This window comes from Homo sapiens, chromosome 8 (assembly GCF_000001405.40).
Source record: "Homo sapiens chromosome 8, GRCh38.p14 Primary Assembly".
Taxonomy (NCBI): domain Eukaryota; kingdom Metazoa; phylum Chordata; class Mammalia; order Primates; family Hominidae; genus Homo; species Homo sapiens.
In genome coordinates, this window is record NC_000008.11 from 79,895,068 (window position 1) to 79,915,589 (window position 20,522).

The 20,522-nt window shown below is 41.2% G+C and overlaps 1 long non-coding RNA gene across 2 annotated transcripts in view, besides 1 other annotated feature; it reads left to right on the forward strand.

The window, feature by feature from the left end:
- Positions 1–20,522, forward strand: part of LOC124901966 (uncharacterized) — a 39,094-nt gene that overhangs the window by 3,253 nt on the left and 15,319 nt on the right. The window lies entirely within an intron of this gene.
- Positions 5,900–5,969: a silencer, noted in NCBI's record as "silent region_19316". NCBI's record gives its function as "represses an Ori minimal core promoter by ATAC-STARR-seq in GM12878 lymphoblastoid cells {active_cell/tissue: GM12878}" and the evidence as "EXISTENCE:reporter gene assay evidence [ECO:0000049][PMID:35858748]".

The following is a 20,522-nucleotide window of genomic DNA, read 5'->3' on the forward strand; positions in this document are numbered from 1 at the left end:
GTGGTAACATGTCAGAATTTCTTTCCTTTTAAAGGTTGCATCATATTCCATTATATGTACATACACATTTCATTTATCCATTTATCCATCGATGGAAGTAATTACTTTTTAAAAAGCACACCAGTACTTACACATAAAAATGATGCTGTCCTTCAGAATAGAGCACTTCAGAAGTTATACTTACTCAGTGATGACTTGTGTCATTGGCTCTTTAGGGGAATTGTGTTCCCCTAAAATTCATATGTTGAATTCCTAACCCCCAGAACCTCAGAATGTGACTGTATTTGGAGATTGTGCCCTTTAAAGAGGTGATTGAATTAAAACGAGCCCTTTAGTTGGGTCATAATACAATGTGACTAGAGTTCTTACAAGAAGAGGAAATTTGGTCTCACAAAAGACACCAGAGGTACACGCAGAGAAAAGGCCATGAGAAGACACAGCGGGAAGATAGCCATCTGCAAGCCAAGGAGAGAGGCCTCCAGAGACACCAAAACCTGCCGACACCTTCATCTTGGACTTCATGCCCCCAAAACTGTGAGAAAATAAATTTCTGTTGTTTAAGCCACCCAGTCTGTGGTACTTTGTTATGGCAGCCCTGTCAAAGTAATACAACTTAGTACAAAAGACTAAGGGTGCTTTTGCTGAAATTGTCTCAGAAACAGCGTAAGCCCATGCACCCACATCAGCCTCGTTACTTTACAGTCACAAACACCATTCAGCTTGATCACTAGCTTTTTTCATCATATTGGGCTTTAAATGGCTTCTGACTCTTTAACAAAAAATTAAATCCTCTCTCAAAGGATAAAGTGCCTTCTCCTGAGAATATGCAAAAGAATACCATGCCAACTTTGAAGGCAATTCCAAAAGGAAATTGCTTTGAGCAATAGCAGCAGAGTAGAAAAAAGTGTTTTGTCTACTATGGTAACTTGCACTGAAGAAGACAACACTCCTTAAGATAAATATGCCCCATTATATTTGCTAAAGAATCTGTTGCTGTACTTTATATTGCTGCCTCCTCTATCGAAATGCAATGTATGTGCATTTTGGAACTTGCCTCACGCTATTTTTTTCCTCCAAGAGCTCAAGCTCTTCAAAGAGCTCTATGACCTGACTCTTAAACCAAAGCTGCAGAGCCTTCTGTTTCTTAATCCGCAGCTGGATTGCTTTGATACTTTGGTCAAAAGGATCAGCTCTCAATGGGGCTCAGTTCACAGGCAAGCTCCAGTACAGCCCTCTCACCCCTACCCTCAGTCCCATCAAGGAAAAGCGGGGGTCGTGAGGAAAGGACTGTGTGATGTGGAGAAGAGAGCAAGTCCCAGGAAAGTAGGCTTTGGTGTCTTGAGGGAAAAGAACTGAGTTGGAATCAGGGGCTGTATTAGTCAGTTTTTTGCATTGCTCTAAAAGAATACCTAAGGCTGGGTAATTTAAAAAGAAAAGAGATTTATATTCACTCATGATTCTGCAGGCTGGACAGGAAGCGTGGCACCAGCATCTGCTTCTAGTGAGGCCTCAGGAAGCTTTTACTTATGGCAGAAAGTGAAGGTGGAGCAGGTGTGTCATGTGGCGAAGAGGAAGCAAGAGAGCTGCCAGGCTCTTTTAAACAACCAGCTCTTGTGTGAACTAATAGAACAAGAAGTCACTCATTACCACAGGGAGGTCACCAAGCCATTCATGAGGGATCCACCCCTCCGACCCAAACACTTCCTACCAGGCCTCACCTCTAACACTGGGGACCACATTTTAAGATGAGCTTTGGAGGGAACAAATATCCAAACTATAACAGGGACCTTGAATTATTATATGCAGTTAGCTTGCCAGATACTTGTCATTTGTCAGGCATTTTCCGAAAAGCTTTCAATTACGTTATCTTGAAAGTTATTTTAGAAGAAGAAGTTGGACTAGGAGTCATGGTCACTGTCACAATTACATCAATCTCTGACTTTAAGAAGGGTCTTTGCAAATATCCCACTGCAAAAATGTCAAAAATGACACCAGCTAGGAATCTCATTTATTTTCTAAAAAACAAAGTCATATTTCTCACTGAGTGGAGCTCCTTGAGGATAAGGTCGGTGCCATCATCGTCTTTACACATTCAGCACTGTGCAGGGCACCAAGTAGGTATTCTAAATGTTGAATGAATGACCTACAGCCCTTCACTAGGTTTCCAGCTCCTGCGATTCCAGTGTCTACCATCCTCTGTTGTGTTTCACATTTCTGTCCAGTTCCCACTTGATTTTCCCTCATTTGTACTTCTCAGGTTGAAGCCCAGATTTATTGTAAAACAGTGCCCATGACCAGAATAGGTTTTATCTTTACCACATCTCTGAATTTGAATTTGTAAGGGGGTCTGGAGGCTACAAAAAGTAACTGGATGCCATGTAAGCCTAGGTTTCAGTCTACTGGAAATGAACTTGAACTTGGACTTGGACTGAAGCTTTCTGCCTTCCCCTTGTCAACCATCTCTCAGGCAGGTAAAGAATGGCATCATAGCCAAAGGAACCAGCCATCAAACTCCCTTAATTTTTGCTGTCACCTGACTTTAAAGTGACATCACCTTAAGACTTCAGACTTCAAATGGTTAATATAATTAGGCTAATGCAAGATAACTATCTGAACTAAGAAAAAGAAAATCTAGTGTATAATGACAATTCCTTTCATTAAAAAGAGACAAAAAAAAATACCTGTTAAAAGGGCTGCCTTTGTCTCCCACTCTCCTGGAGCTCCATGGCTGGTGCAAAATTGAAACAACTCTTTTCACTGTTCCTCCTAAAACATTCCTTGTATGAGACTATTTTATGTGGGCAGAGACCAACAATGATGCCCCAACACAGTAAAAGAAGTTTGAATTCCTTCTCCTTAAGAAAATATTTCTCCAGTGAGCCCTCACTATTCTAGCTGACCAGCTGGCAGGCTAGCAGGTGAGGACACTCTCTTTGCGGACCCCAAAGCCCTTGGCAACTTCTCAACTGTGCCTGAACTTGGCAATCATGCCTATGGAGAATGAGCTTTCTTTTTTTGAGAATGGAGGAACGCAATATGCACAATTTACCTTTTTTCTCAGAAGTTATTTTATACCTCATTAATGCCAGGAGAAAGGGCTTGTAAGGGTCCTGACATGTAAATGTCTAATTAGGAAACTTTCAAAGCTGACACTATGTAAAACACTCACGTTTTATTTAAAAGAGAAGGAAATCAAAAAATAATTTATCATCACACTGCTAAAGAATTCCTCCAATAGAAATAGGAATGCTTTTGCACTGTTGGTGGGAGTGTAAATTAGTTCAACCATTGTGGAAGACAGTGTGGCGATTCCTCAAGGATCTAGAACCAGAAATACCATTTCACCCAGCAATCCCATTACTGGGTATATACCCAAAGGATTATAAATCATTCTACTATAAAGACATATGCACATGTATGTTTATTGCAGCACTGTTCACAATAGCAAAGACTTGGAACCAACCCAAATGCCCATCAATGATAGACTGGGTAAGGAAAATGTGGCACATATACACCATGGAATACTATGCAGCCATAAAAAAGGATGAATTCATGTCCTTTGCAGGGACATGGATAAAGCTGGAAACGATCACTCTCAGCAAACTAACACAGGAACAGAAAACCAAACACCGCATATTCTTACTTGTAAGTGGGAGTTGAACAATGAGAACACATGGACACAGGGAGGGGAACATCACATACCAGGGCCTGTAGGTGGGTTGGGGGGTAGGGGAGGGATAGCATTAGGAGAAATACCTAATGTAGATGACGGGTTGATGGGTGCAGCAAACCACCATGGCACGCATATACCTATGTAACAAACCTGGATGTTCTGCACGTGTACCTCAGAACTTAAAGTATAATAAAATAAATAAATAAAAAATAAATTTTTTTTAAAAAAAACTAAAGAAGTCCTCCAATAAAATGAGCTTCTTCTTTGTATATTCCACTTAAGCTTAGCTCAGCCTGCTGCTCTCATCCATTAAGTCCAATGTTCATGTTCTCCTTTCTTCCTTCCTGCAGGAATTTCATCACACTCTTACTGTCTTAGCTTGGTTTTCCCTGAAGGAAGAGCCTGATGCCAGCGCTTTTGTGCAGATAGATAATTTTGGAGGTGGTCCTAGGGCAGAAGAGAGAGAGAGAGAGAGCAGGGAGAGTGAGATGGCAAGGCAGGGAAATGCGCTACTACGGGAAATAAGGGCTTGATTCTGCCAGGACCACCTGAGAAGCCCGTTTAATGCCTTCTTGAACCATTCTCTTGAAAGCTAGGAAGCAGGTCCATGGATTCATCAGTTCCCTTCCCATGGGTCAAAGGTTATTCCCAGGAGTATTAACTTCCTGATCTATGCATATGCTTGAGCAAAGCCAACCCTCCTAGTGTCTGTGTTGTCCCAGTATAGAAAACAAAAATATATGATGTATTAGTTATCCATTGCTACAGAAAAAAATCATCCCAAAATTTAGTGGCTTAAAATCACAATGATTCCTCCACAGTTTCTGTGAGCCTGGATGTCGGAGCAGCTGAGAAACTCTGGCTCAGGGTCCCTCATGATGTTGCAGTCAGGACATCAACCCAAGATTCCATCACCTGAGGGCCCGACTACGGCTGGGGGATCTGCTTCTAAGAGAGCCCATACACATGGCAGCTTCCTCGCTGGCTGTTGGCAGTAGGCCTTATTTATTGTCACAAAGGCCTCTCCATAGGGCTGTTCAAGTGTCCTTACTGTGTGGCAGCTAGCTTCTCAAAGAATCGATGATTCAAGAGAGAGCAAGGCAGAAGCCACATGTCTTTTGACCTCACCAATAGTATTTAAGCTATTGGTCATACAGACCAACCCCAATGAAATGTGGGAAGGGGACTACACAAGAATGGGAATGCCAGGAAGTGGAGACAATTGGGGCCATCATGTGGGCTGGCTACCACATAGGTTATGTGTGCAAGGGTCATAGTCAGCACAAAACGTACCAAAACCTGCACAGAACTGTCAACACTGACATGGCTGAAATAATGTATGAGTCCACAAAGATGTGAGTCATGCTGCACGCAGTGGCTCACACCTGTAATCCCAGCACTTTAGGAGGCCAAGGTGGGTGGATGGCTTGAGCTCACAAGTTCAAGACCAGACTGGGTAACACGGCAAAACCCAGTCTCTACAAAAAATACAAAACTTAGCTGGGCATGGTGGTGTGCACCTATAGTCCCAGCTACTTGGAAGGCTGAGGTAGGAGGATAGCTTGAGCCTGGGAGGTGGAGGTTGCAGTGAGCCGAGACCGCACCACTGCACTGCAGCCCAGGTAATAGAGCCAGATCTAGTCTCAAAAAATAAAATAAAAAAAAGTTTCAAGGATGTGAGTCATGGTATTCCAGATGCCTGTTCCAGCTATGCCTCCTTCTTGCTTTCCACCACTCAGACCCAACCATTTCCTTGGTTCCTCAAGTTGAACCCAGGATATGCAATTAAACGAAGATCTCAGAAAATACTGAGGTGCAAAGCTGATCTAGAATTCTAAAATTACAAGTACAACAAATGATCTGAAAATGGCCTACATCTTGGATTGATTAAATCATTTAGGAAGTTTATTTTTTGGTTTTCTTTTACTCCAAAGCTACAACAGGCAGGCTGCAGAAGCCAACACATGACTGTCTGCCTTTCAACAGGGCAAGAGAACAGGTCAGATGCTGCAGCTTGATGGAACAGAACATTACCATAAAGCAAACAAACCTGTGTAAAACATTGTCAACATGAAAAATATAGAGAAATGAATCTCTAAGTATAAAGGTTTTATTTGGGAATAATAGACAAGAAGTAAGATTGCCGTCTGGGACATACATACATACATGCAGATCATGGTGGCCTCTGAAATGTCCAGAAAACAAAGGAAACGATTAGGGGCCCACTGGGGAAAGAGGAGGTTTACACAAGTTGTTTTGAAAGAAAGCTTATTGGTACTAGCAGTGTCTTACAAGCGCTGGTGAGTTCTGACTGGTGAATGTCAGTAGTTGCTAGGTAGGATTTGTAACCTTGGAGTTACGGTTAGGCACTTGTAGGTTTTTTTGTTTGTTTGTTTTGGGGTTTTTTTGAGACAGAGTCTCACTCTGTTGCCCAGGCTGGAGTGCAGTGGTGCAATCTCTGCTCACTGCAACCTCTGTCTCCCGGGTTCAAGTGATTCTCCTGTGTCAGCCTCCCAAGTAGCTGGGATTATAGGTGCATACCACCATGCCCAGCTAATTTTTTTTTTGTATTTTTAGTAGAAACGGGGTTTCGCCATGTTGGCCAGGCTGGTCTCGAACTCCTGACCTCAGGTGATCCACCTGCCTTGGCCTCCCAAAGTGCTGGGATTACAGGCGTGAGCCACCCTTATAGTTTTTTATTGGGCTTGTGAGACAGTTTTTAAAACAGGCAAATGTTCTTATATAAGTGGCTATCTCTCCTTGTGCTGCTAGCTGCAGTTTGAAAAAATTTCTTGTGATAGTTCCTTTTGTCAGACAAATCACATGTGAGAGCCCTCCCTTCATGGCCTTCTCTGACCCCAATGGCCAGAGTTTGACACAAGTGACTCTATTTTGAATCATACAACTTCCAGGACATGAACATTAATTGAACACGTTCATCACAAGGACAAGATTCGTTTTAAGTCCAGTTAACAATGCAACTGACTCCTCCAGACTTTCAGAGTCTTAGAGGATGATGAACACATGCCCCAAAGTCATGACTGCAGCGTGGATCCTCCGGCTCCAGTCACTGTCCCCAAATTTCCAGGCAAGGGCAGGACACAAAACATAGGAGTAATGTGTATATCAGAACAGAAAACCCTAGAACTTGCCAGCCAGCAGACTTCACATATATTTTATTGGCCAGAACAGTGTCACATGGTCATTCCAAGTTGTCAGAGAAGATGGGGAGGTTGTTAAAATTTGTTATTAAAATTTTTAAAAATTAGAGACAGGTCAGGCATGGTGGCTCACGCCTGTAATCCCAGCACTTTGGGAGGCCGAGGCGGGTGGATTACTTGAGGCCTGGAGTTCCAGACTAGCCTGTCCAACATGGCAAAAGCCCGTTTCTACTAAAAACTACAAAAATTAGCCGGGCGAGGTGGCGCACACCTGCAATCCCAGCTACTTGGGAGGCTGAGACACAGGAATCACTTGAACCCAGGAAGCGGAGGTTGCAGTGAGCCAAGAGTCCACCACTGCACTCTAGCCTAGACAACAGAGCAAGACTGTCTCAAAAATAGATAAGTAAATAAATAAATAATAAATAAATTTTAGAGACAGGTTTTCATTCTTTTGCCCATGCTGGAGCGCAGTTTTAGATACAGGGTTTTGTTCTGTTGGCCATGCTGGAATGCAGTGGTGGCATCACAGCTCACTGCAACCTCAAATGCTTGGGCTCAAATGATCCTCTGGCCTTGGCCTCCAAAAGCTCTGGGATTACAGGCATGAGCCACTGTGGGGAGTTTTTTTTAAAGCTGATTATCAAAATTGGGTTCTGTAAATAAGGGAAAAGGGGAGGTTGGATATTGGATGGGCAATTAGCTGTTTTTGCAACCCAGTGTTTTTTAGCCCACTCTATGGGTGGAAATGCTTTTTGCTACACTCACCCAAAAGGCCCAGATAGTCAAAAGGGATCTTGAACCACTGAACAACCAGCCACTGGTTAGTTCTGTACTTGTGTGAAAAAAAGAAACCCCTCTGTGGCATGACCCATTGCTGCTGGGTTTTCTGTTACATGCGGCTGAACTCAATGCCCGATCGATACAACTCACAGAAATATTTTTATTTATTTTTACTTTTTCTTGAGATGGCGTCTCACTGTGTCACGCAGGCTGGAGTGCAGTGGTGCAGTCTTGGCTCCCTGCAACCTCTGCTTCCCGGGTTCAAGTGATTCTCCTGCCTCAGCCTCCTGAGTAGCTGGGATTACAGGCGTGCACCACCACGTCTGGCTAATTTTTTTATTTTTAGTAGAGACGGGGTTTCACCATGTTGGCCAGGTTGGTCTCGAACTCCTGACCTCAGGTGATCCACCCACTTTGGCCTCCCAAAGTACTGGGATTACAGGTGTGAGCCACCATGCCCAGACAGAAATATTTTTAGATCATCTCTAACCACGTAACAATTTTGTTGTATTAATTGTTAAACTTAAAATTTGTTCATTATCTTCAAAGATGTGGTTTCAAATTTGTCAAATTTATAAACAGCATCATTATTGATCTTCTGAAAAAATAATAGCCACATGATAATCCTGAAGCTTCTGCACATTGGTGTTTTTCTGTTTATTGTTTTTTCCAGTCCCTTTAACTGGACCTGCTCTCACACACCTTTGGGTCTTCATGTCTGACAGGCCCTCTGCCTAGATGCTACCCGCCCTCCCTACCCCATCCCCAGTTTGCCAAACACCTCCTTGCAAAGGCTTTCCCTGAATCTTCCAATCTAAACCAAGTAACTCAGTTACGTTCTCATGCAGACAGAACAATTTCTTTCTGAAACTTACTGCACTTTATACATACCTATTTCTTTTTGAGGGTATGTGTATAATATGTTTTCCCACTGAACTGTAAGTTCTATGAGGTCAGGGGCTGTGTTAGTTGTGTTCAAGCCTGTCCTGGTCCTGAGAGGAGAAAAGTGCCAGCTGGAATGTTATGTTCACATTGACTTTCAAGAAGCCCCTGGAAAGTTCAAGTGGGATGCTCTTGTTCAAGGGATTGATAGAATCTAGACATGATCAGAGATGCTGTCCATAGTGGATTCTGCTAATTGAAATGTTTAAGCTTTTCTATTTGTTTCTTATTTTTTATTTTTTCTCCTTGTAAGCCTCTGGGGAACAACGAATGTGTCCAGGGATGGCAGGCTCCACAAAGCAGTCTGGGCAAACTTCCAGGCTGTCCAGCCAATCAATAGAGTTTCCAGGGGTGACAGGCCAAGTTGTAATCCCTCTTAGTCACCCTAAACAGAGCAAAAATACTGATTGACCACAGTTAAAGGTAAGAATCTCTTAATGCTTGCTTATATAATATTTCTTAAGGCTTGCAGTTTGCAGAAGTAAATACAGATTGGAAAATATCTGTTTATACCCTTGTGGCAAAGCAGGCATCTGGAGAGCATTTAACTGTGGTAATACATTGCTCCCAAGTAAATGTTCTGTTTGTGACAATATAACACCAGGTTATTTGGCATTTCAGAAAGGCACCATTCTCCTTCTGGGTTCTATACAAAACTGAAGGCAAGATTTCAAGACAAGCTATTCTGAGAATATTAAAACATGCACCAACTCAAATGAGAAGACCAGGAAAAACTGGAAAGAAGTTCAAGTTATAAGAAAATTTGAAAATATAATGCCTGCTTAGAAAATTACTGTTTGCTGTCTATTCTACTTCTTTTCTTTAAAGACTACTCTGATGGAAATGCCCATTAATGACTCCTGCCTATGAGGAAGTCTTGTTTATCCACACTGTCTGGGGTTTGAAACACGTGGAGGCAGAAAGTGGGATACGAGAGATGGGGAGATACAGGTCAACTGGAAGCTGCACTTCCAGGTATAGGCTACAAACTGTGAGGCTACAATAGCTGCTCAGGTAGAGACGGGGGTTCTGGAATATTTGGGTGCTTATATATCCAGATTACCTGAGTCCCAAAGGAGCCAGATAGAAGGAATTCTAGTGAATAAATAAAACTCTGACCCAGCATTTATTTAATTCAAGGTAGTAATTTTACAAGCTGCTTCATTTTTTACTGAAATTAGGACATAAATTCAAAATAAATTAAGATTTTAAGTCACTAAATAAAATTAAAAGTAGACTATGTGGAGGGGGATAAAAATTATCTTACTAATCACTTACTCATTATTTGAGAGGTACCCGCTCTAAGAGGGAAAAATATTATTTATCTATTTTTTCCTGGTTTTTATACACCAAAACATCCTAAAAGTACTGTGAGAAAATAACATTTTTAAAAATGGATAATACTTTTCAGTGACTTTTAGAAAATAATTTTTGAAAGGTTACTGATAAATTATTCACCAGAAGTAATCCATCATAAAGAATTAACCAGAAAATATCAGAGATATGAGTTAATAAACCAAAGGTAGATAATTGGATGCTTTTGTACTTTCTATATCACTATAATAGGGGAAATAGGTTTCAATCCAGAGAGGAGATACTGCCTTTGCCAGAAACAGAAATATTTTTGAACACTATTCCTATTGGAAAAAAAAAATTTAAAAATGTGATGGGGCCAGAATACCCATCCAGAAGTTGTGACCTTATACTTAAAGTCACTTTCAAGTCCACAAGAACAAGGTGTGCTGTGGCCTACCCAATCTACCTCCTGGGGAGTCAGGCTCATAAAGCTAAAGTTGAGGTCAGAAAAATGAGTAGGATGCAGCATACACCTTTTATCAGTGCCAGTAAACAGTCCATGAGCTCTCAAAAAGGCTTCTATTGTTGTCTCTGTTTCAACTATGACTTGGAATTAACACAGCACAGAACAATCCTGCCTCTCTGTTCTGAAGTCCTAGTAGGTAAGTAAACGAGTAACTCCCTTCAACTTCCCCACAAAAGTATGTATAAGAAGCCTGCCCCTGGCCAGGCACGGTGGCTCACGCCTGTAATCCCAGCACTTTGGGAAGCCGAGGTGGGCGGATCACAAGGTCAGGAGATCGAGGCCATCCTGGCCAACATGGTGAAACCCCGTCTCTACTAAAAATACAAAAATTAGCCAGGCATGGTGGCGTGCACCTGTAGTTCCAGCTACTCGGGAGGCTGAGGCAGGAGAATCCCTTGAACCCGGGAGGCGGAAGTTGCAGTGAGCTGAGATCACGCCACTGCACTCTAGCTTGGGAGACAGAGCGAGACTCTGTCTCAAAAAAAAAAAAAAAAAAAAAGAAGCCTGCCCTATGGTAGAACTTTTGAGTCTAGCTGAGCTTCTTGCATTGCTTGTGTTTTCTTCTTTAGGTAAACAGTAGAACTATTTCGCCAGTCATACTACAGTTTAATCTGCGGCACTTGGGCTAGAAGAAACACAGATGGAACTAATGAAGGTTTTACTGTGTGGACAGTGTGATACTCACTGTGTTTGAGTGACATTGTTTTGTATATATACACATAGAAAAGTTTAACAAGCCATCATTTGCTATGACAATGGGGCATATGAGTGGTTCTCAAACCAAGGAGCAGAGATTATCTCTTTGTGAGGACAAATTTGATTAAGAGGCATTCCTTGTGTGCTTTTTGTGGTATTGAACAGACAGCCAAATGCTTAGCTTCAATGTAACCATCCTTCCAGTACCCTTGAGAAAAAAGCTGCCTGTCAACACTTGGGTAAACAATATCTAGAAGTGATGGAAGGAAAAATACTCAGGGACAGGAAAGCAATGAGCATTGCAAGTCTTACAGACTGCATACAATTCATGAAAGAACCAGAATGCTCAAAAAGAATGGAATTCTGGGCCCTCCCCTCTTCAGTTTCCTCAAACTTTCCACAGCCTTTAGACTCAAGGGATTCTTCCTTGGTTGCAATGAATATAGTGAACACTTCAAGGTTTGTGCCAAGAGGGAAGTAAGAGAGCCCAGTTAACATAAAATAATGAGACATCCTTTAAAGTCATACACAGTTACTTCCCCTATCCCTGCCCCATAGGCCAGCAAAATGCTGGACATGGAGACATGGGCCCAGCAACCAGCTATTTTCTAGAAAATTACCAGGAGAGATGAGCCAGACTCAGATGAATACTTGAAATCTTGACATGCAAAATCTGTTCATGTAGCTTGATCTTTTTATTTCTGTTAAGTCTCTAAAACAAAATGTGGTGAAACATCATTTAGGCAGAAAGCTTTGTGGGGTTGTGGGGTTGTGGGGTGGTAGAGATGAGGGGGTGAGGTGAAGGGGACTGTGGAAGAGGAGGAGTGAAAGGGAAAGAAATGCAGGAGATTATTTGTACCAATCTCATTGCTAAAAATGTCTGCTTCCTTCCTTGGGAATCAGAGTTTGCAGAACATTTTCTCTTTCTCTGTTGACAGAAGATCTTGTAAAATGATAGCCACTGAATCAACTAAATACATTCAACAAATATTGATGAGTATTCTCTATGTTTTTAACACAGTGCTGGCACAAAAGAAGATACAAAATTGACTAAAACTCAATTCCCCATCGTTGACACTTCTACAGTTTATTAAGAACGTATACATTAACTCCCCAGGGGATTAATCTACAAAGTACGTGAATTCGTTTCAAAGCAGAAGTAACTGATTAATTCATATCCATTTACCCACTTATTTACTTAGATACTTAAGGTCTAGGAGATTGTATCAGGACAGTCTTTAAAGTTGCCTTAAAAAATATCAATTTTCTTATTAGTTTTATCTTCTTTTCTAAAACCTTTAATTTTAAATGACAGAATGAAATAAAATTAACAACCTTTGACATGAGACACAGCTGTGTTTCTGAAAATAAGGGACAAAGGCTGTGAAATAGAAAACAGATATCCCAAAACTCATGCATTGTTCTACAGTTCTACAAAATTGGCCTCAAAGCCTCTTCCAGACTACTGTAAAACAAGCTTATAAATTAGAAGCGGAAAAGCACACTGATACCAATAAAGGTCACAATTTAGAGAATAGAGATGGAAAAATATTTAATGCAAACAAAAGAACTAAAGAAGGATAGTTATTGTCATTTTATACATAGGCATAAAGCTCCCGCAATTAGATCAAGAGCAACTTGTTAGACAAGCAGGAAATTACTAGAAGTAGGTACATTAGCATAAGTAAAAACTATCAGCTGATAGTAAGGGAAGTTGTAGGTAACCAGTTAAACAATTCAAAGAGCACAAATGGTCTGGAACCACTTGGTAGGAGCTAGTAGCTCTACCCACCTTAATAATCCCTGGGAAATCACATCATTACAAAATTGTTTTTCATAATGGTGGCCCTGAGTCATCAAGGAAAACTTTAAATCCTGTCAGTATTCTCTATTTTAAAAAGCAGGAAATGTTTTGGGGCCAGGAGACTATGTAATGCATTTTAGGGTTTTACAGGCAACATTTGGTTGTGTAGACTATTCCCTAGGAACTGAAATCTCCCTGATTAATCAGAGGTTTACAGTGCCTTTGATCAAGAAAATGCTCCTTGAAAAACTTTCTCTAATAACTATCAACCAAGTTTCATTAGAGAAAATAGTAGGTTATCTTTTCCATATATTCCTACAATTATTTTAATACACTGAATCTAGCCTACTCTAGGGAAAGCATTTTGTGTAGAATTTATGTAGATGGAGAGATGATAGGGAGGAAGGTGACAGCAGTAGAAATAGCATGAAGGTATGTGGCGATTTGACACATTCACTAATGCTAAGTATAAACTGACTGCACAGAGATTCTGTGGTGGAAGGTACAGAGAGGCAGGACCCTATGAGTGAGTCATAGCGTTGGCAGAGTATAAGAAAATGACCCCATGTCTCTGTCTTTCTTTAATAGATGTGAAGACTGTAGTGTTTTGTTCCAACAGGCATGTCCTGTTCAGGCCCCAGGAAAGGGCCACACTTTTGTGAAGAGTCCCTATCTTTCATATGGAGGAAAACGGCACTGGAATAGAAAATAAACTTGACAAACAGGCCCTTACAGAGGTGGGTGAGAGAACGCCTTGCTTTCCCTGGGCCTCACTTTCCTGGGCCTTGACTTGGAGCTCTCTGGATATGCTGAGGGAGCACCCCGGTGAAAGCAGAAGCTGTTATCTGTCTTGGGGCAGGAGGGAAGGAACAAAGCCAAAACACATCCAGCGGTCTTGTAAGGATGAGCAAGCCTGATCTCATTATCTAGCGTTCTTAGTGACAGGTGAATTCTATGTCCATTTCCCTTTAATAACCATGGAACTTTTGCAGAGTCTTCCTGCACCTTACAGCCTCTTCTCAAGTGGTCATCCAGTTCACATTGCAAACAGCTGTGACTAACTTCCTACCTCTCGAAGCAATCTTAGAGAATCATTTAGGAGATAGCCATGTTAACGTTAATTCACCTCATATCAGCAAGACTTTAATCTCTGGCTTACCAGAGGATCCAACTTTATCATCAGTCTCTTTCTTGCTCTTTGTGGAATAATGTCTTTTCTAGTTTTTCTAGTTCTTGCATCTACACCTATCAAGTGACATGTACATTAGATTACACGGAGGCTGATAATATTATGCCCTTAGTAGATTTTCCAGGACTTTTTCTGGTCCATTAGTCCTTTCAGATTTTGTTAATACCCACACCAGAGGCTGAGTGGGAAAAAGAGAGGTGTTAACAAAGATTGAAATGACTAATGGACGAGATTTTTTTTAAGACAAAATTATAGGGGATTGCCTTAAATTGTCATCCATTTTGTGGCTCTATTTTAAAAATTTACTAGTATATTGGGCATTGCTAAATATATCTATAAGACAGTTATGCAGCAACATAGCTCAGACATAGCATTATTTCCCACGAATAAAGATGGTAGCATTTACCCACAATCCTTGTCTCAGCTGCCTGCCTGAGTGGAATTCCCACTCCTTTTGGTATGGTTTTGAGAGTTGGGACATCATCTTTATCTACTGGCTTCTGTGGTATTTACTGCATCTAAAATGAAAGATTCTGCATTTAAGTGTTGCCTGGAAAAAACACAATATCTTGCTTTCTTTTATTCATTCATTTGAAGTAATTATTGCTATCACAGTCTCATGTGCATTTTTCCCAAACCATAATGATTTGAGACTTATAGAGTATGGTAAAACAGTTGGATTGTTTTTTCAGAGCGGCAATTTTGTGAAGAAAATGGTAGTAATCTGAGCCACTTTTTGGTTTCTAAAGATTTCATCTGTTCACAGGACAATTTCAGGGTTCATACAATTTCTTACCTGGAAGCTGAAAACCTGTGTTCAAAATCTTGTTTTCCATCTTCCACATGTAGAATGCAGGTATAAGAACTTAAAATAAGACACGGTCTTTTGTAGAATTTTCCTTTCCTTCCTCCTTTGGCTCAGAGCATCTCTGAGTTCTTTGTAATTAGTTTAAAAGAAACATGAAAAAAGTTATAGTCTTTTCAAATAAACTACATGTTTCCCTTAGGAATTTATACTAAAATGTGTATTTATTTTTAAAAACCAAATGATATGAATATAAGAAATGCAATACTGGGTCAGCCCAATGATCTAACCAGCCTGTGGTTTCAAAGTTTCATAGTACTCCATTAATGTCAACCTCAGAAGTTTTGGGATGTATTTCAAACTCCCTGGTTTCCTTTAATACTCAAATCTGAATTTACCATTCAGAGATTCATCAAAACCTTTCCTGAACTTATTTATATCTCTAACTTATATCAACTATAGAAATACTGAGTACCATAATGGCGAAGTTACTATATCCTATCTACTATGAGACCATAGAAAGGATATTACTACAAGGGGATGAAAAATTGGGATGGATAATTCAATCTATTACAATTATTTTCTTTTTCTTGAGACAGGGTCTCGCTCTGTCGCCCAGTCTGGAGTGCAGTGGTAAGATCATGGCTCACTTTAACCTCAACATCCTGGGCTCAAGCAATACTCCTGCCTCAGCCTCCTGAGAAGCTGGAAGCCTATGCATGTGCTATCATGCTGGGCTAATTTTTTTTTTTTTCACTTTTTGTAGAGATAGGCTCTATGTTGCCCGGGCCAGTCTTGAACTCCTGAGCTCAAGCAAGCTTCCATCTCAGCCTCCCAAAGTGCTGGGATTCCAGGCACGAGTCACTATGCCCAGCCTACATTTTCTTGGTTACAACTATTCATATCCCTCCCACATGCAAAACTCCCCCATCCCCATCTTGTGACATCTCTCGCCAACCCCAAGGCCTCATCCAATCATGGCATCTGCCAAAATCCTATGATCTTGTGATCTATAAATCCAAATGCTGCTACTTAGATCCAAAGACCTATAAGCTAAATAGAAATTATCTACCTCCTACATACCTATGGTAGGCAGCTTCTAAGATGGTCCCAATGGTTCCTGCCCACTGGTATTTGTGGGCTTGTGTTATCTTCTTCCTAGGAGCAACTTGCTTCTAGAATGTGGCAGCATTGAGGGGATGTCACTTCTGTGAAGAGGTTACATAAGAGTGACTTCCATCTTGCTAGCAGACTCTGTCTCTTTTGCTGGCTCTGATAATGCAAGGTACCATGCTAAGGAGGCTCACGAGGTAAGGAACTGAAGGTGACTTCTGGCCAATAGCCAGCAAGGAATTGAAGCCTCAGTCTAACAGTCATCAAGGAACTGAATCCTGATCAAGGAACTGAATCCTGGCAATTATGTAAGTGAGCCTGGGAGTGGATCCTTCCCCAGTCAAACCTTCAGATGAACCCCAAGCCCTGGCTGACAACTTGAACAAAGCCTATGACAGACCCTGAATCAGAGAATCCAGTTCAGCTGTGCCTGGAATTCTGACCCACAGAAACTATGAGATAATAAATATGTGTTCTGTTGTTTTAAGTGACTAAACTTTGGGGATGTTACTTAGCAATAGATAATTAATTAGCAGTAGACAATTAGTACATCTAATGTACAATGGTGGAACAGGGACAGGATAACTACAATAAATACTCCCATTTGAAAAAGTAAATACTGGGCTGGGTGTAATCTTAATGCTTTGGGAGGCTGAGCAGGGGCAGATTGCTTGAGTTCAGGAGTTTGCAACCAGCCTGGCAACATGGCAAAACCCTAGTTCTACAAAAACAAACAAACAACAACAACAAAAATTAGCCGGGCATGATGGTGTGTACTTGTAGTCCCAGCTACTCAGGAGGCTGAGGCATGAGAATCACTTGAACCTGGGAGGCAGAGGTTGCAGTAAGCTGAGATTGTGCCACTGCACTTCAGCCTGGGCAACAGAGTGAGACCCTGTCTCAAAAAAAAAAAAGGAAAAAAAAGACTGGAGGCACATCACAATCATTGGCCTAACAATTCTGAAATCCCATTAGGTAAGTGTTGCGGGAGTCCCTCTTATGAACATAGTGAGGTCCCTCTACCCTAAGGCAAGGATGTTCCTTACTAGATCCCCATTCTGCTCCACGAGTATAGCTCTCAAGTCCATTTTTCTCCATTGCTCTTGGTTCTATTTTCTCAGAGGCCCTTCCTGTTCCATGATACTTCTTGCTCTTTTGTTAAGAGAACGTTGGAACAATTTCAATTGAACACTGGAACCACCCAATCCCAGAACCAATGCCACTTCTAGGTATTAATTTCTGTATTGGTCAGCTATTGCTGCTTAACAAACAACCACAAAAATGTCAGCACCTTACAACAATAAGCACTTATTGCACCCTGTGGTGTACAGATCTGAGGGTGGCTCTGCTTCAGGCTGAGTCCATTTGGTTTATTCTAGTCTGAGGGTCTATGCCAGAAAGCAAGGCCACACTCAAAAGCATCTTCTCTGTTCACATCACAGACACTAAAATCCTATTGACCAAAGCAAGTCATATGGCCAAGGCCGAAGTCAAGGCGCAGGAAAGTATTTTGCCATCATGAGATCATGTGGAGAATATGGATATACAATATCACTACGTTTGAGGAAAGAACTGAGTTCAATTATTCAACCTATGACACTATATAAATTTTATGTGAAGAAGGGTTTCTATGCCTAAAAATATTTTAAGTTCCTGGCCAAAAGGATTTCTAAAATCTCTAGTTTTTGGAGCACCATGGAAATAGAATATTTGCATGGGTAAGGGCTAAATCAGTAAGTATAGAGAGGCCAGTCCTGTTTGGCAGGCACTGAGGGTGGTTGTATATTTCATCAAGCACCTGGAAGGAGTACAGGGAAGGAAGAATGAGGATGCTGGACAATTAACCAGCATATTCAGAATTAGCCCATTATTTATTATGGGATTAAAAAATTTTTTTGCATGCCTCAAGCAAGATAGATGCGTTCAATTGTAAGTTCAAAAGTATATTGTAGTACACTAGTGTTTGCAGTGGCATTATACATAATAGCAAAAGATGGAAACAACCCAATGTTCTAGATGAATAAACAAATGATTATACACACAATGAAATATTATTCACCTTTAAAAAGGAATAAAATTCTGATACATGCTACCACCATGTGAATCTTGAAAACATTATGCTAAATGGAATAAACCAGACACAAAGGAACAAATAATGTATGAGTCCACTTACATGGGGTACTTAGAATAGTCAAATTCATAGAGACACAAAGTAGTATAGTGGTTACTAGGGGCTGGGAAGAAATGAAGAGTTCTTGTCTAATGGATACAGAGTTTCAGTTTGGGATGATTGAAAAGTTCTGGTGATGGATAGTGATGATGTTTGCATAATGTGAATGTACTTCAAGTCCCTGAATTGTACACTTAAAATATGGCTAAAATGGTACATTTTATTTTTTCTTCTTTTTAGCCACCTATAGTCTTATCAATTTTATGTTATCCTATGTGGTATATTTTATCACAAAAAAATTGCTTCATAGAAAAAATATATTCTAAAGTTAACCACAAATAATTAGGATAATCTACACCACTGTACTTCTCCACCATAATGGGTAAAGGGTTGACCATATTTAATAATGAAATCTTATGCCGAATAAAAATGAAATTAGGAAGGGCTAAAAAACTCTTATGACGTCTATATTTCAAAGAAAATTAGGCTCCTACAAAGACATGATAAACCTGTTATGACGGAAGAAAATCCACTTATTTCAAGCTTATATTCTTGTTCAGAAAACCAAGAGACAAATCAGAATGGCAGTAGTCTTCATATGCCAGTACTTGTATGTTTGAAAATTGCAGTAACCCTAGGAATACACTCTTAGATCTCCTTTTAAGAGATCCTGATTCCTGTAATCCCAGCACTTTGGGAGGCCGAGGCAGGTGATCACCTGAGGTGGGGAGCTTGATACCAGTCTGGCCAACATGGTGAAACCCTGTTTCTATTAAAAATACAAAAAATTAGCCAGGTGTGGTTGTGGGCGCCTGTAATCCCAGCTACTCAAGAGGCTGAGGCAGGAGAATCGCTTGAACCCTGGGGGCGGAGGTTGCAGTGAGCCGAGATAGCGCCACTGCACTCTAGCCTGGGCAACAGATTGAGATGCCGTCTCAAAAAAAAAATAAATAAATAAAAAGAGAGAGAGAGCCTGATTCAAGGATTGTAGTGTGCAGACAGCCTGCAGCTGCTGAACCTTCAGAATCCAGCAGTGTCATGCTGAGGTGACACTCCCTGGGTCTCTCCAATGACTGAGCTCGGTGGGAGTAGGAGAGATGGGCCATTCTTGCCTACTATGGAACTCTTCTAATGGGCAATCTTTGCTCTGACACTCCCCATTAACCTGGCTGAGAATTTCACAGAGCTGCATTGCAGTCCGGACACTCTTCCTACCCAACCTCCCTTTACAGGTGTCAGATCGTCTTCACAGCTTGAGGCTCTCCCGTCTACTCCTGCTCCCTCTCCTCTTTATCCTTCACTGGCATTTCTCCCAGAATTGCACGTCTAGTTCTGTCTTGGTGTCTGTTTCCTGGAGGGCCTGAGCTGACACAGAAACACTATAAGTTTTGTTTGTTTGGCATGTTGACTTAGAAAAAAGGTATTGGCTTGATTCAAATAGTTGCCCTACTTTAATAATATTAAAAGAATGAAGATTGCTCCCTGAAAACTGGTTCTCTAGGCTATCTCAACCTGGCTGACTTGAACTAGATAACTGGGGTTTGGGGAGCTGGTTTCACTAGATTGAATATAGCTGGAGGACCCACTGATGTTTTCATTCAGGCTGTAAAAGAGGGCAATGCTGGACCAAATATAAAAGTAAACCAAGAAAGAATGGAGCACAGGAAACTGGAGATATAATATGGGCTGCAAATGGCAATCACGGAGTCAAGGCATTGGGAGAGATGGATAGCTGCTCTCTGAGTCAGGCTGGGAAATCAATCCCTGACTAGACATCGTATGTCTTAGAGATGCCTGGTGTAATTAGTTTTCTAGGGCTTTCCTAACATATTACATATTGGATGGCTTAAAACAACAAAAAGTCTTATTCTCACAGTTCAAGAGGCCGGCAGTCTGCAATCAAGGTGTTGGTGTACTGATTGCTTCTTAAAGTATTCAGAGGGAGAACCTGTTCCATGCAGCTCTCTTAGCTTCTGGTGGCTGCTGGCAATCCTTAGCTTGTGGCAGCAGAACTTACCATCTCTCCCTAGCAAGCCACATGGCACTCTCCCTGTGTGTCGGTGTCCAAGCTTACCTCCTCTTCTAAGGACACCAGTCATACTGCATTCAGTATGACCCACTTCAATCCAGCATGACCTCATCTTGACTATATCTGCAAAGGCCCTATTCCAAATAAGGTCACATTCACAGGTTCCAGATGGACATGAATATGGGAGAAGGTTGCGGGGTGGGGGAATTATTCAACCCAGTACACCTGGGAACTTTAGATTAAAAAGAAGCCTTTAGATTGGTGTCATAAGAGACGAGGAAGAATTTTCTGGTGGTGAGACTTTGAAAATAGGAATATAGGGTCTTGTTGCAGAT